At 46.9% G+C, this 16,363-nt stretch overlaps 1 long non-coding RNA gene, 1 other non-coding gene and 1 pseudogene across 2 annotated transcripts, besides 3 other annotated features; all 3 read right to left on the bottom strand.

The window, feature by feature from the left end:
• Positions 225 to 724: an enhancer, noted in NCBI's record as "H3K27ac hESC enhancer chr17:41531211-41531710 (GRCh37/hg19 assembly coordinates)". NCBI's record gives its function as "activates a minimal SCP1, AML or CMV promoter by ChIP-STARR-seq in naive H9 embryonic stem cells {active_cell/tissue: H9 hESC(naive)}" and the evidence as "EXISTENCE:reporter gene assay evidence [ECO:0000049][PMID:30033119]".
• Positions 1,306 to 2,080: an enhancer, noted in NCBI's record as "NANOG-H3K27ac hESC enhancer chr17:41529855-41530629 (GRCh37/hg19 assembly coordinates)". NCBI's record gives its function as "activates a minimal SCP1, AML or CMV promoter by ChIP-STARR-seq in primed H9 embryonic stem cells {active_cell/tissue: H9 hESC(primed)}" and the evidence as "EXISTENCE:reporter gene assay evidence [ECO:0000049][PMID:30033119]".
• Positions 3,370 to 9,860, bottom strand: MIR2117HG (MIR2117 host gene). The gene is made up of 2 exons (NR_146952.1): positions 9,659 to 9,860; positions 3,370 to 3,670 (listed from the first exon to the last, which is right to left on the bottom strand). It is a non-coding gene; the product is annotated as an MIR2117 host gene (long non-coding RNA).
• On the bottom strand, positions 8,954 to 9,060 carry RNU6-406P (RNA, U6 small nuclear 406, pseudogene; annotated as a pseudogene).
• MIR2117 (microRNA 2117) lies at positions 9,682 to 9,761 on the bottom strand. Its single transcript, NR_031751.1, has one exon. It is a non-coding gene; the product is annotated as a microRNA 2117 (primary transcript).
• Positions 15,137 to 15,901: an enhancer, noted in NCBI's record as "NANOG-H3K4me1 hESC enhancer chr17:41516034-41516798 (GRCh37/hg19 assembly coordinates)". NCBI's record gives its function as "activates a minimal SCP1, AML or CMV promoter by ChIP-STARR-seq in naive H9 embryonic stem cells {active_cell/tissue: H9 hESC(naive)}" and the evidence as "EXISTENCE:reporter gene assay evidence [ECO:0000049][PMID:30033119]".

Below are 16,363 nucleotides of genomic sequence, written 5' to 3'. Positions count from 1 at the left end.
AGATTGCACTATTGCACCCCAGCCTGGGCAACAAGAGCGAAACTCCGTCTCAAAAATAAATAAATAAATAAATAAATAAATAAATAAATAAATAAATAAATAAAAATAAAAATAAAGAAAAAGAAAACTAGGGAATAATAGGGAAGTATTAACCTACACCCAGGCTGGAGTGCAATGGCGCAATCTCGGCTCACTGCAGCCTCAACCTCTGGGCTCAGGTGATCCTCCCACCTCAGCTTCCCAAGTAGGGACTACAGGTGCGCACCCCCATGCCCAGCTAATTTTTGTATTTTTTGTAGAGTAGGGGGTTTTCCATGTTGCCCAGGCTGGCCTTCTGTACTTTTTGAATTTTGAAATATATCTATACTTAACTGATTTTTTTTCTTTTCTTTTTTTTTTTGTTTTTTTTGTTTTTTTTGTTTTTTTGAGACAGGGACTCTCTTGCCCAGGCTGGAGTGCAGTAGTACAATCTCAGCTCACTGCAACTTTTGCCTCCCGGGTTCAAGTGATCCTCTCACCTCAGCCTCCTGAGTAGCTGGGACTACAGGCGCACACCACCATGCCTGGCTAATTTTTGTATCTTTTTGATAGAGATGGGGTTTCACCATCTTGGACAGGCTGGTCTCGAACTCCTGAGTTCAAGTGATCTGCCCGCTGTTAGGTCTATGACTACGCCAATTGTCATGCTGAGGTCTGAGGGAAGTGGGTGGATGAGCAGAAAGAATACTCAGGAGGCCGTAGGCAGGTGAAAGATTATTTTATTCAGCAGCAACTTTCATTAACAACTTTCTCACACTATCCTCCCTGTCTCAGCTGCTTAGTACAACGGCTCTCACACGCAGCTGCACACAGCTGGCTCTCCCTTGCCTTCAGGGTTAGCGGCTTAACTCTTTCTCTCTCTGGGCACGAGCGAGCTGAGCTGTGTCCTGGCTCCCTCCTGTCCATCTCAAGATGGACAGCTTTGACTCTCTCTCTTTCTCTGGGTGTGAGCACCTGTACAGTGTCAGCAGGGCAATTATACCTTTACAGACCATAGTGGCGTAGGGCCAAGGGAGGGCTTTCCCATGTTATGGCTATATGGCTGTGATAATATGTAGAGTTATACACCTGCGAGTTATGCAGGATGTAAACATCCTACCTCGGCCTATCCTTGACCAACACACAGCCACGTTCTTTATACCCTCCTTGGCCTCCCAAAGTGCTGGGATTATAGGCGTGAGCCACTGAACCGAGCAGTAACTGATTTTTTTTTTTTTTCCCTGGGCAAAACCTTTACTGTTGTTTTCACAGAAGGCATGGGTGAAACAGAGTAAGCAGCCGAGCAGGCTGAGGATTGGATAGTTTCTTTTTTTTTTTTTTTTCTTTTTTATTTTTTTTTATTGATCATTCTTGGGTGTTTCTCGCAGAGGGGGATTTGGCAGGGTCATAGGACAATAGTGGAGGGAAGGTCAGCAGATAAACAAGTGAACAAAGGTCTCTGGTTTTCCTAGGCAGAGGACCCTGCGGCCTTCCGCAGTGTTTGTGTCCCGGGGTACTTGAGATTAGGGAGTGGTGATGACTTTTAACGAGCATGCTGCCTTCAAGCATCTGTTTAACAAAGCACATCTTGCACCGCCCTTAATCCATTTAACCCTGAGTGGACACAGCACATGTTTCAGAGAGCACAGGGTTGGGGGTAAGGTCACAGATCAACAGGATCCCAAGGCAGAATAATTTTTCTTAGTACAGAACAAAATGAGAAGTCTCCCATGTCTACCTCTTTCTACACAGACACGGCAACCATCCAACCTCTCAGTCTTTTCCCCACCTTTCCCCACTTTCCGTTCCACAAAACCGCCATTGTCATCATGGCCCGTTCTCAATGAGCTGCTGGGCACACCTCCCAGACGGGGTGGCGGCCGGGCAGAGGGGCTCCTCACTTCCCAGTAGGGGCGGCCAGGCAGAGGCGCCCCTCACCTCCCGGATGGGGAGGCTGGCCAGGCGGGGGGCTGACCCCCCCACCTCCCTCCCGGACGGGGCGGCTGGCCGGGCGGGGGGCTGACCCCCCCACCTCCCTCCCGGACGGGGCGGCTGGCCGGGCGGGGAGCTGACCCCCCCACCTCCCTCCCGGACGGGGGGGCTGGCCGGGCAGAGGGGCTCCTCACTTCCCAGTAGGGGCGGCCAGGCAGAGGCGCCCCTCACCTCCCGGACGGGGAGGCTGGCCAGGCGGGGGGCTGACCCCCCCACCTCCCTCCCGGACGGGGCGGCTGGCCGGGCGGGGGGCTGACCCCCCCACCTCCCTCCCGGACGGGGCGGCTGGCCGGGCAGAGGAGCTCCTCACTTCCCAGTAGGGGCGGCCGGGCAGAGGCGCCCCTCACCTCCCGGACGGGGCGGCTGGCCGGGCGGGGGGCTGACCCCCCCACTTCCCTCCTGGACGGGTCGGCCGGCCGGGCAGGGGGCTGACCCGCCCACCTCCCTCCTGGACGGGGCGGCTGGCTGACCCCCCCACCTCCCTCCCGGACGGGGTGGCTGCCGGGCGGAGACGCTCCTCACTTCCCAGACGGGGTGGCTGCCGGGCGGAGGGGCTCCTCACTTCTCTGACGGGGAGGCTGCCGGGTGGAGGGGCTCCTCACTTCTCAGACGGGGCGGTTGTCAGGCGGAGGGTCTCCTCACTTCTCAGACGGGGCGGCCGGGCAGAGACGCTCCTCACCTCCCAGACAGGGTCGCGGCCGGGTAGAGGCGCTCCTCACATCCCGGACGGGGTGGCGGGGCAGAGGTGCTACCCACATCTCAGACGATGGGCGGCCGGGCAGAGACGCTCCTCACTTCCTAGATGGGATGGCTGTCGGGAAGAGGCCCTCCTCACTTCCTATATGGGATGGCGGCCGGGCAGAGACGCTCCTCATTTTCCAGACTGGGCAGCCAGGCAGAGGGGCTCCTCACATCCCAGACGATGGGCGGCTAGGCAGAGACGCTCCTCACTTCCCAGACGGGGTGGCGGCCGGGCAGAGGCTGCAATCTCGGCACTTTGGGGGGCCAAGGCAGGCGGCTGGGAGGTGGAGGTTGTGCGAGCCGAGATCACGCCACTGCACTCCAGCCTTATTGCAATATCCACCTTTTTATGATGGTCTGGAACCAAAACTGTAATATCTTCAAGGTATGCCTGTATATTCTTTGCACTGTTCTACAGACTTCCTATGCGTTGAAGCATTGAAACATATCTTCACTTTGCAGATAGGGAAACATTCATTATTAACAGAGGTTTTCTGGCTATTGTCAAATCTCAGGTGAAAGCCTTTTAGCTTCTTTCATTCCTTCTCAATGAAACCAATTTGGCAGTCTCTTTCAAAGCAATGTCTTCAATTGGAAAGTACTACCTCATACATGAATGAACAACGTGTCTCCTCTTGTCATTGATAAGATGAACTTAGAATGAGCTTGAAATGCTATGGTGGTGGTGCTCTATTCTGGACTGCAGAAAAATCTGGAATGCCGTTCTCAGATGGGGCAGTTGCCAGGTGGAGGGTCTCCTCACTTCTCAGACGGGGCGGCCGGGCAGAGACGCTCCTCACCTCCCAGACGGGGTCGCGGCCGGGCCGAAGCGCTCCTCACATCCCAGACGGGGCGGCGGGGCAGAGGCGCTCCCCACATCTCAGACGATGGGTGGCCGGGCAGAGACGCTCCTCACTTCCTAGATGGGATGGTGGCCGGGAAGAGGCCGTAACTGATTTTTTTTAAGCAAACTTTTTATCTGTATGTGTTTTCAGATATCTTGGCTGGTGGGCCTGTAAGACACTGGGACAGAGTTGCCATAGCCTCCTTAAGGATTTTGGGATGGCCCCAGAAAGAACAGAATAAACTTGGCGAATCACCTAGGTTCAACATAAAGAATTGGGAATGTGGACCATGGCACACACTCAGGGCTGGTTACAGAATTTTCAGGGGCCAGTATAAAATGTATGAATCCAGCCAGGCATGGTGGCTCATGCCTGTAATCCCAGCACTTTGAGAGGCCGAGGTGGGTGGATCACTTGAGGTCAGGAGTTTGAGACCAGCCCAGCCAACATGGTGAAACCCCGTCTCTACTAAAAATACAAAAATTAGCCAGGCGTGGTGGCAGGTGCCTGTAATCCCAGCTACTTGGGAAGCTGAGGCTGGAGAATCGCTTGAACCCAGGAGGCAGAGGTTGCAGTGAGCTGAGATCGCGCCATTGCGCTCCAGCCTGGGCGACAAGAGCAAAACTCTGCCTCAAAAAAAAAAAAGGATGACTCCTTGTTTCTAAATTATTAAGACGTTTAAATGGTGACAGCAGAGCATTAAATCAAGCAGGGGGTCCTTCTAAACATGGGGCCCTGCTTAACTGCACAGGTCACACATCAATGGTGCTGGCCTTGCACACACACAGTGGCCAGTCACTCAGAAAGGGGCAGTTTTGCCACAAGACATCCCAGTCCTGCAAAGCCGAGAAAAACCCACAGCTGCTGCTAGGTTTCCTTCCACAAGCACACCTGGGAACCTAATTCTTCACAGAGCCATTTTCCACATGCACCACCACTCTGGTTATGAGTTCAGAAGAGAAACCAAAGCAATAAAATAAACATAAATCAAAGCCAACTGTGTTAATAAAATGGATCCAAAGGGTCAGTGTGGCAGGCAGGACATTAGATTTCAGACAGCTTTAGTATCTTCCCGGACAAATTACATGAACTGCTGTCAGAGGTACCCTCAAAGTTCATGCAAAATATGCCTCCTGGCTCATTTAACTCCCATTTCTCCGCCAGTAAATTATTAACGGAACAAGCTCGAACTGGCAGAGCTGTTGTCTCAACATAGGCCTGATGTCCACACAGAAAATTGCTCAATAATTTGTACTGGAAGTGACCCAGCACTAAATTCATTCCCTGAGCACTGGCACCAGGGCACCAGACTGCAGGGGGAAAGAATCCCCAAGACAGCATCCTGCTTCTGTTTGGAGTAGAGTGTAAAGTCCCCATCGAGGGGCCGAAGGTGACCCTGCAGCCTCAGAGCAGCAGCCCATAACCCAAGTGTCGGTGACTTCATAAGGCCAAGGACACAAGAGGGGCCCATAGAAGCCTCTGGCAGGTGAGAAGGAGAGACAGGGAAAAGAAAGAAAAAGACTTGATGAGAGGACAGCGCAGGATGAAGAGAGGAGGGGATGGAACAAGAAAGAGGAAAACTTCTCTCTTTGGGGAGGAATATATGGTTTGGGGCAAAATATAGGTTCTAAAGAGCAGCTTCCACCACTTCAATGCACCCATCTCAGCTTCTGGAAGTCTTTCCAGGCCTTGAGGTTCAGCTCCAATGACACCTCCTCCAGGAGGTGGAGGGTAGCTTCCCCTGATGGCCACAGAACAACGTTGCTACCCAAATAAATGATAATACAGTAGATAAGAGTGGAGAGTTTCCCTTTGCCACCTACACCCTCTCATTTCGTACCCCCAGCCCTTCCATGGGCATTATTACTGCCCTAATTTTGCTAATGAAGAAACCGAGGTACTGAGAGATTTAGTAACTTGCCCAAGGACATACAGGTGGTAAGTGCTGCAGCTGGGACCAGACAAACTGACTCCAAAGTCCTTACTTGTAACCACTTGGCTCTACATTTCCCTCTTCTACCTTATTGTGGCTCAGAGGATCGCCTGAGCCCAAGAGCTCAAGACCAGCCTGGACAACATAGTGAGACCCCGTCTCTACAAAAATTTCTGCCTGTAGTATAGACAGTAGTGTCCAAACTTCACCCCTCCTCCAGGAAACCTCTCTTGAGGATAGGGACTCTATCTTACTTATATCCCTATTCCTCCAGCAATCCACTACAACGTCCAGCACATAGTAGGTGCTCAGTAAATGTTAATTCCATACCTTTCTCTCATCAGACACATGTACAAAAAGTATTGTGTCCAAAACACAGACTAAGAGAAAATATTTACGAATCATATGTGCAACACAGGATTTGTATCCAGAATTTATAATGGGCCAGGCGCGGTGGCTCATGCCTGTAATCCCAGCACTTTGAGAGGTCGAGGAGAGTGGATCACCTGAGGTCAGGAGTTTGAGACCAGCCTGGCCAACATGGCAAAACTCCATCTCTACTAAAAATATAAAAATTAACTGGGCGTGGTGGCGGGTGCCTGTAATCCCAGCTACTCAAGAGGCTGAGGCAGGAGAATCACTTGAATCTGGGAGGCGGAGATTGCAGTGAGCCAAGATTACACCATTGTACTCCAGCCTGGGCAACAAGAGCAGAACTCTGTCTCAAAAACAAAACAAAACAAAAACAAACAAACAAAAACCAGAATTTATAATGAACTCTCATACCTAAATAAGAAAACAGATTACTGACTTTAAAAATGAGCAAAAGATGTAAACAAATACTTCACCAAAGAGAATATTAAGATGGCAGATAGGCACATGAAAAGATGTTCAACAGCCAGGCGAGGTGGCTCATGCCTGTAATGGGTCACTTTCAATACAATTACTGAGACAAGAAGATTGCTTGAGGCCAGGAGTTCGCCCAGCCTGGGCAATATGCAAGACCTCATCTCTACAAAAAAATAAAAATAATTTTTTAAAAAAGAAATAATCATCATGTACAGTCACTCAAACCTGAAATCCCAACACTTTGGGAGGCCAAGGCAGGAGGATTGCTTGACCCCGGGAGTTGGAGACCAGCCTGGGCAACATAGTGAGACCTTGTCTCTACCAAATTTTTTTTTAATTAGTTGGGCATGGTGGCACACATCTGTGGTCCCAACTACTCAGGGGGTTGAGGTGGGAGGATCACTTGAGCCTGGGAGGTCAAGGCTGCAGGGAGCCATAATTGTACCACTGCACTCCAGCCTGGGAGGCAGGGCGAGACTGTCTCAAACAAACAAACAAAAAAGAAGTATCAATCTGAATCCCATAAATATGTACAATCATTACATGTAAACTAAAAATAAAAGTATAAATAATCACCAAATGGGAGAAAAACAATGCTTGGCATATAGTAGGCATTCAATAAATATTTGTAGAATTAATAGTCCCAGTGAAGCAGCCAGTCATTCATTCTATTGCAAAATAGCTCAAATGAAAAGAAATTTATGAAATTTTTTTTTACTAATGTTAAGCTGAAATCACACCTATATAAAAAGATTTATGGGTCGGTTTCGGTGGCTCATGCCTGTAATCCCAGCACTTTGGGAGGCCAAGGCAGGCAGATCACTTGAGGTCAGGAGTTCAAGATCAGTCTGGCCAATATGGCAAAACCCTGTCTCTAATAAAAATATAAAAAGTAGCCGGGTGTGGTGGTACACATCTGTAATCCCAGCTACTTGGGGGGCTGAGGCAGGAGAATTGCTTGAACTCAGCAGGCAGAGGTTGCAGTGAGCCGAGATTGCACCACTGTACTCCAGCCTAGGCGACAGAGCAAGACTCCGTCTCAGAAAAAAAAAAAAGTATCCAAGACCAAGAAAATGAAAATATACATTCACACAAAAACTTGTACAAGAATGTTTATAGCCGCATTATTCACAATAGCCAAAAAGTGCAAACAACCCAAATGTCCATCAGCTGATGAATAGATAAATGAAATGTGGTATATCCATACAATGGAATATTATTCATCAATAAAAAGGAATGTAGTACTAATACATGCTACAACACAGATAAACCCTGAAAACAGCATGCTAAGTGAAATAAGCTTGACATAAAAGGCCACAGATTGTGTGATTTCATTTATGTGACATATCAAGAGTAGGCAAAGCCATAGAGGGAGAGAGTCTCTATGGCTCGTATTTGCCAGGGGGTGGGCGGAAGGGGAAATGGGGAGAAGCTACTGTGGATTCGGGGTATTTTGGGGAGACGAGATAAAAATGTTCTGGAATTACTGGTGATGGTGGCACAACTTTACAAATATACTAAAAACACGAAATTTTACATTTTTTTTCTTGTAAATCTAGGTCTGAACAGATAATTGTATAATTTGGTAACTTGTTTTCCTCTCTTTTTTAGAGACAAGGTCTTTCTCTGTCACCCTAGCCAGAGTGTAGTGACGTGATCATAGCTCACTGTAACCCCAAACTCTTGGGCTCAAGCAATCCTCCTGTCTCAGCCTCCTGAGCAGCTAGGATTAAAGGCACTTGCCACCATCCCCAGCTAATTTTATTTATTTATTTATTTATTTATTTATTTATTTATTTATTTATTCATTCATTCATTTATTGGTAGAGACAGGGTCTCGCTGCATTGCCCAGGCTGGTCTCAAACTCCTGGCCTCAAGTGAGCCTCCGCCTAGGCATCCCAAAACCCTGGGATTGTTTTTTTTGAGACAGAGCTTCACTCTTCTTGCCTAGGCTGAAGTGCAATGGCGAGATCTTGGCTCACCGCAACCTCCACCTCCCGGGTTCAAGCAATTATCCTGCCTCAGCCTCCTGAGCAGCTGGGATTACAGGCATGCGCCACCATGCCCGGCTAATTTTGTATTTTTAGTAGAGATGGGGTTTCACCATGTTGGTCAGGCTGGTCTGGAAATCCTGACCTCAGGTGATCTGCCCGCCTCGGCCTCCCAAAGTACTGGGGATTACAGGTGTGAGCCACCACACCCAGCCTTTTTTTTTTTTTTTGAGACAGAGTCTTGCTCTGTCACCCAGGCTGGAGAGCAGTGGCACAATCTTGGCTCACTGCAACCTCCGCCTCCTGGGTTCAAGCGATTCTCTCGCCTCAGGCTCCCGAGTAGCTGGGATTACAAGCACACACCACCATGCCCGGCTAGTTTTTGTATTTTTAGTAGAGATGATGTTTCACCATATTGGACAGTCTGGTCTTGAACACCTGACCTCAGGTGATCTACCCACCTCGGCCTCCCAAAGTGTTGAGATCATAGGCGTGAGCCACCGTGCCTGGCCTCAAAACCCTGGGATTACAGGTGGGAACCACTGCATATGGCTGAGTTGTACACTTTAAAAAAAATTTTTTTTTAAATATGGAACACTTCACAAATTACAGTGTCATCTTTGAGCAAGGGTCATGCTAATTTTCTTTGTATCATTCCAATTTTAGTATATGTGCTGCTGAAGTGAGCATTGAATTGTATAATTTAAAAGGGTAAATTTTGTGGTATACTATACTAGTTTTATGGTATACCATAAAATTGTGGGTATACTTTATAAAAATAAAATTATGGTATGTAAAATGTTACGGTATACCATAAAATTATGGTATACTTTATGGTATACCATTAAATTGTACTCAGGCAGTATGAAAAACTCAGTATAAAAAAATTCATAGACCTGTACACCAACAGAAAAAATTTTACTGCATAATTTAAAAAATAAAAAAAAAATTAAGTCCTGTGTCCGAAAGGCAGGAGCCAGGTTCTCACCTGTTGTGTGTCACCTAAGTTGCCTCATACAATAAATGCTGAGGACAGTGGTTCCCGGACGTGGGTACATGTCCAGGAACCACCTGGTTGGGGGAGGTCTTTGAAAACTTCTGATGCCTGGCAACCGCCCCCAGGCATTCAGATTTAATTGGTCTGAGGTACAACCTGGGTACTGAGATGTTTTTTTAAAGCTTCCCAGGTGATTCTAACATGCAGCAAAATTTGAGAACCACGGGCTTAGCAAAAGGTTGATGAACAACCATTCTTGGGAGCCAAAAGCTAATCCCCGCCCCACCTTACCTCACTTTCACCTCAAGGCAATCAGATCAGATCTGTCCTTGGCAAAGAGAACAGCTACAGCCAATCCTGCTGTTCACCATGCCGGACAGAAGTAAATCAGAGCATTCTCTCCAGTTCCTTAAGGGCCACTGCTCTCTCTATAAACATGTGGTTGATGAGATCAGCAATTCTGAAGCAGGATCCATTCTACAAAGCATGGTTTCTTCCGTTCTCCCCAGGTTTTCTCTCTCTTGCTGTCCCCATTTGTAGCTGGGGTTGGGAAGTGGAGGAGAGAGAAAGTCACTGAATAAATACATTCTCTGTGTTCTCAATGAACAGACATGAAAGAAAAGAAAAATGGTAAATACATTCCTAGTAGGGTGAGCCTCAGTAGGTTTCTGGATTACCCTTCCCAGAAACATTCATATTTTCAAAGAAGACCTCCTGGTAAACGAAGACATGAGTCACTAGTAAGGAAGGTTTTGAGGGACAGGGTCTCTTTCCTTTAACTTCCCAGACACATGTCTGGACTGGTCCTGATTGTTTGACCTGTCTGTTTTCTTAGAACAGAGCATGAGATCCTAGCTAGCTGCATTCCATTCACTTAACAATTTGTTGTTCGAATTTATTTATTTCAGTTACGATTAGGTTTTGTCTGTGGCATTTATCGTCTTTCTATGCCAAGCAGTCTCACACTAACTTGAAAGCCCTTTTGTATTATCTACTGTGTTTCCTACAGGTGAGTCTTTTCACCTTGTCTTAGTAATTAAGACTTCTGGTTGTAGATTACAAAAACCATCTCAAGCAAGTTTAGGCAACAATGGGAGTTCTCAATGAGATTACAGGTGGAACCAGGAAAGTTAAGCCTCAGGGAGAGCAGGAATCCAGGCATACGTGGTCTTTATCAGGGAGTAGACACCAGGGCCCCACCCCAGTCAATGGGGAAGTCAGATCTCAGAGAATAATAATCATTGAACATGAATTGAATGTCTGCTATGTGCAGGAACATATATTATTGATAACATATTCTTATGTTATCAGTATGAGTTATATTACTATTGCTCTTCCCATTTTATAAATGAGGAAACTGAGGTCCACAGAAGATAAGCAATATGTTCAAGAGCTTCCAGGCCAGGTCCGGTGGCTCACACCTGTAATCCCAGCACTTTGGGAGGCCGAGGCAGGAGGATCACCTGAGCCTCAGAGTTTTGAGTCCAGCCTGGGCAACATAGGGAGACCTTATCTCTACAAAAAATTTAAAAAGTAACCAGGTGTGGTGGTGGTGCCTGTGGTCCCAGCTATTCAAGAGGCTGAGGTAGGAGAATCACTTGAGCCCGGGAGGTAGAGTCTGCAGTGAGCTGTGACTGTGCCACTGGACTGCAGCCTGGGTGGTGGAGAAAGACTCGGTCTCAAAAAAAAAAAAAGAAGTAGGGGGTGGGGGGCAGTTCCAGTTGGCACTGGAACTCAGGCAGTATGGTTTCAGAATTGACACACTTAGCCACCAGGTGAATGGTTCCCTTAAGAGTTGTACAGTGGGCAACCTGCACACCCATACCTGGCAGCCCTGACTATGGACTAGATCAGTGTTTCTCATCAGAGACACTGAGGACATTTGGAGCTAGATAATTTTTTGTGTAGGACTATCCCATCCTTCATTTACTATATGTGAGTGGTAATAACGCTCCCAATCATTGTGACAATCAAAAGCCAATCATTGTGACAATCAAAAGTATCAACCTCTTGAAACTTAAAAAAAAAAGAAAATGAAAAAAAAAAATTTAAGTATCAACCTCAGTTGAGAATCACTAGGATAAGTAGATAGCCCCAAATGATGTCTACATCTATTTTGTGAGCTCTTGATGACCAGTAGCAATGTGACTTCTTTTCCTCTTCCCACAGTAGTTGGCCCAGACAACTGTATACATACTCCACAAATGCTGGATGTGCATTGTCATTAGAGCCTGAAAGGATCCAGAGTCCTCAGCTTGGTGCTTCCCTACCCAGGATGATAGGGATGGAAACATGAGTCATGCATGGTAGATTCACTCCAACATCCTACGGGAAGACACAACAGTTTTCTCAGTTTTTCATTTGGTCCGCTGAACAAGCCAGCATGGTAGAAGGGCAGGAATTAGTCATTCCTATTATGAAAAAAGAATGTAACAGTAAAATTGTTTTTAATTTTGGCAAAGAAAAAAGTAACTATAAGCCTATCCTCTGCACAACTACCCTGTTTTGCATGTTACCTCCTGGCCCTGTCTACATGCTCTCTCTCAGTGTGCACGGTTATAGTCAAAGGGTATACCATCTGGGGTTCTGCTATTTTCACTAAACATTTATAAATGTTTTCCTTGTTGCTACATGGTCTTCATAATGAATGATTTTTTTAATGCCTGCATAGTGTTCCATTGCACAAATCTACTTTTATTTTATTATTATTATTATTGTAGAGGCAGGGTCTCACTCTGTCGCCCAGACTGAGTGCAGTGGCACAATCATAGCTCATTGTGTTATAGGATGGGAAGCCTTGACTGAGTTGTCCAGGTTTTTGGCGTGTTGAACAAAGAATTGAACAAAATGCACAGACAAAACAATAGAAGATGAAAGCATACATTTATTGAAGTGAAAGTGCACTCCACAGAGTGGCTCAAGAACCCTGATTGTAAAGTTTCTTGGGGTTTTCATTGAATTGAAAGAGCATGGTAACACCCCTAAGCACCCTTTAGCAGCGTCTGATAGGTTACACTCTATACAAATGAAAGATTCTGCCCAGGACCAATAAGACGCAGAACTCTGCCCAGGACCAATCAGAGGCATCCCACTTGTGACCTATGAGCAAATGAAGATTTCAGAATGGACCATTTACAGAAATTCCCATTTTTGACATAAGGGAGGGGAGGTTCAGAGAGAGAGGGGCCTTTGGCCCCTCATCACTTGGTCATGGAAAGGTGGGGTTTTTCTTTCAGTCCAATTCCAAGAAGGCAGCTGTGGGTTGGCCTTAGGTTTCCTGCCTCCAGACACTATTCTCCTGCCTCAATTGCAGCCTCAAACTCCTGGCCTCAAGCCATCCTCCAGCCTCAGCCTCTCAAAATGCTGGGATTTCAGGCATGAGCCACTGGATAGGCCCTTCCCTCTCTGAACCTCCCCTCCCTTATGTCAAAAACGGGAATTTCTGTAAATGGTCCATTCTGAAACCTTCATTTGCTCATAGGTCACAGATGGGATGCCTTTGATTGGTCCTGGGCAGAGCTCTGCCTCTTATTGGTCCTGGGCAGAATCCTTCATTTGTATAGAGTGTAACCTATCCAGTAGCATGAACCACACCCAGACTACTTTAATATTAAAAATCTTGGCTGGGTGCGGTGGCTCACGCCTGTAATCCCAGCACTTTGGGAGGCCGAGGCGGGGGGATCACCTGAGGTCAGGAGTTTGAGACCAGCCTGGCCAACATGGTGAAATCCTGTCTCTACTAAAAATACAAAATTAGCCAGGTGTGGTGGTGGGCACCTGTAGTCCTAGCTAGTTGGGAGGCTGAGGCAGGAGAATTGCTGGAACTTGGGAGGCAGAGGCTGTAGTGAGCTGTGATCATGCCACTGCACTCCAGCCTGGGTGACAGAGTGAGACTCCATTTCAAAAAAAAAAAAAAAACCGTCCATGTATGTGAAATTATACTTCAAGTTGGTTTGAATTTGCATTTCTGTGATTTAGTGCATTGCCATAGTGCTATTTATTATTTCCATTCTTTGTTATATTAATAAATTGTATATAAATTTTTTTTTTTAGATGGAGTCTCGCTCTGTCACCAGGGCTGGAGTGCAGTGGTGCGATCTCGGCTCACTGCAAGCTCCACCTCCTGGGTTCACGCCAATTCTCCTGCCTCAGCCTCCCGAGTAGCTTGGACCACAGGCGCCTGCTACCAGGCCCGGTAAATTTTTTTTTGTATTTTTAGTAGAGATGGGGTTTCACTGTGTTAGCCACGATGGTCTCGATTTCCTGACCTCGTGATATGCCCGTCTCAACCTCCCAAAGTGCTGGGATTACAGGCGTGAGCCACCGCACCTGGCCGTATATAATGTTTACAATGAGAGTTATATTCATTTTACGAATAAAAACTCTGAAGATCAGAGACATTAGGTAAAGTTGCTCAAGTTGACAGAATTGACTAAACTTAGAGTAAACATTTTCTAGCCGGGCACAGTGGTGTGCACCTGCAGTCTCAGCTACTCAGGCGTCTGAGGCCAGATCATTTGAGCACAGGAGTTTGAAACCAGCCTGGGCAACATAGCAAGACCCCCATCTCAAACAACAACAACAACAACAAAAAAACCCAAAATATTTTAGGCCTGCTTAGTCCAATGCCCTTGCCATCCCACCCCATATCCTCCCCCAGCTCAGACATGCTCAGTGATGAAACGAGTGTCTGCGGTTGCAATTCCCTCCCACAAGCAAATGAGGGGCTGATCCAAAGTGCTTCTAAACTCTGTAGTTACTGCTTGCCTGGTTCCAAGCAATCAGCCCAGGTCCAAAGATAAACACAAAGGCAGCCCCAGAAAGGATCCTGGCACCTCCGGCCCCCTTCTGGCCTCTTCTGCTCTAGGTCTTGTAGAATGAATAAGAGAGTCTGAATATTTCACCTCCAGTAATTTCCTTAAGGTAGTAATTCCTAGACCTGGCTGCTTCCATGAGTCCCTTGCAAGAACTCTTCCACAGATTCTGGCCTGTGGAATCGGGATCTCCAGGGACCAGGGCTTGATGATCTATAGTTTTTAACACCCTCCAATTAATTATGAGGCTCACCTAGGTTTAGGACCCACTGCCTTAGAGTTTATGAAATCACCTAGGCAAGCTTGTCAAAATGCAGATTCCCAGCCTACCAGGGATCCGGTGTAGGGCCATGGAATCTGCATTCCAACAATCATGATGTCCACAGTCCACACAAAGGGGACCATCAAGGACCAGGAAAGAGCCTCTGCAAAAAGCAAATAAATAAATAAAATAATAATAATAAACAAAAAAATAACTCGTTGGCTTGAAAGTAGGGTAAACTTTTTTTTTTTTTTTTTTTTTTTTGAGGTGGAGTCTGGCTCTGTCGCCTAAGCTGGAGTGCAGTGGCTCAGTCTCGGCTCACTGCAAGCTCCGCCTCCTGGGTTTTCAAGCCATTCTCCTGCCTCATCCTCCCGAGTAGCTGCGACTACAGGCGCCCACCACCACGCCCAGCTAATTTTTTGTATTTTTAGTAGAGATGGGGTTTCACCGTGTTAGCCAGGATGGTCTCGATCTCCTGACCTCGTGATCTGCCCCCCTCGGCCTCCCAAAGTGCTGGGATTACAGGCGTGAGCCACCGCGCCCGGCCAATAATTTTTTCTTTTTTTTTTTAAAGAGCCTCTGCAGCCACCATTTTTCTGATTTAGTTAAAATGTAGACAAGCTTCAATTGGAAATGGCTTTTGCCAGAGGAACCAACTAGACTTTCTATAAATCCGGTTTTCTCATCCAGCTCTAAAGCATTAGCATAAAAGCAATGGAGAGAGAAGGAAAAGGAGAACCTCTGCCTCCCAAGTAGAAGGGGGGCTGCGGTGGACAGCATGGCAGGTGGTGTTTATCTGCAATCATGGGCTATTCTTCAACTCCCAAACAGCCTCTTAGCTGCAAATTGTTCATCAGCATCATCACTTAGCCATTCATCCCAGGAACTGATGGCAGCAACTTAAGTTGCCTTATTTTTCCCTTTCCCAAATTGAACTCCTAAAGAGCCAGCAGAGACTGGAAGCCACACAAAGCACCACCTCCTGTGTGACAGGACACACCCCCCATCCCTGGGGGTGGACCATCAGCCCTTGGACTTAAAACAAAGGAGTCAGGTTTGTTTTCTAAGGCAAAAATCACAAAGACATTTTTACATAAGTTCCAAAATACATTTCCCTTTACTGGAGGTCGGAAAAAGAGGATATTTAACTTCAGACTTATAGTAATCTTCCTACTTTCTCCACTGAATACTTATCTGTGAGCAGGGCTCTGGGGTCTCAGCTTGTATCCAATAACTTGACAGACAGGGTTTGCTTCTGAAGCAAGTAATTTGTTTTATCTGACTGTCCCTTGGGGCAGTTTCACAGCATGTCAAAAGCCAGCACCTTGGAGACAAAGGACACATGTATCTTTGCTTCATGATCTGCAAACACCGGTTTTGTGGTGACAAAAACCATTAAATTAAGATGCCATGGGATTAAAATTACAGTTAAAAATATTTTAAAGTATATATCGGCTGGGCACGGTGGCTCACGCCTGTAATTCCAGCACTTTGGGAGGCCAAGGAGGGCGGACCACGAGGTCAAGAGATCGAGACCATCCTGGCCAACCTGGTGAAACCCTGTCTCTACTAAAAATACAAAAATTAGCTGGGCATGGTGACGCGTGCCTGTAGTCCCAGTACTCGGGGGGCTGAGGCGAAAGAATTGCTTGAACCCGGGAGGCAGAGGTTGCAGTGAGCCAAGATCATGCCACTGCACTCCAGCCTGGCGACAAAGTGAGACTCCGTGTCAAAAAAAAAAAAAAAAAGTATATTGACAAAGTATATTGACAAAGATTAAAAGGAATTTTAATACCCAGTTTTGGCAAAGATGCAAGAAGTGGGCAGCCCTCTCCTGTACTTCCTGAAGGGCCACTGGGCAATTTGAGTCGCAAGCTCTAAAAATTAGGCAAAACCCATGGCCCATCAATACACTTTTAG

This window comes from Homo sapiens, chromosome 17, assembly GCF_000001405.40.
Source record: "Homo sapiens chromosome 17, GRCh38.p14 Primary Assembly".
Classification (NCBI taxonomy): domain Eukaryota; kingdom Metazoa; phylum Chordata; class Mammalia; order Primates; family Hominidae; genus Homo; species Homo sapiens.
This window is presented reverse-complemented; position numbering and strand designations above follow the sequence as displayed.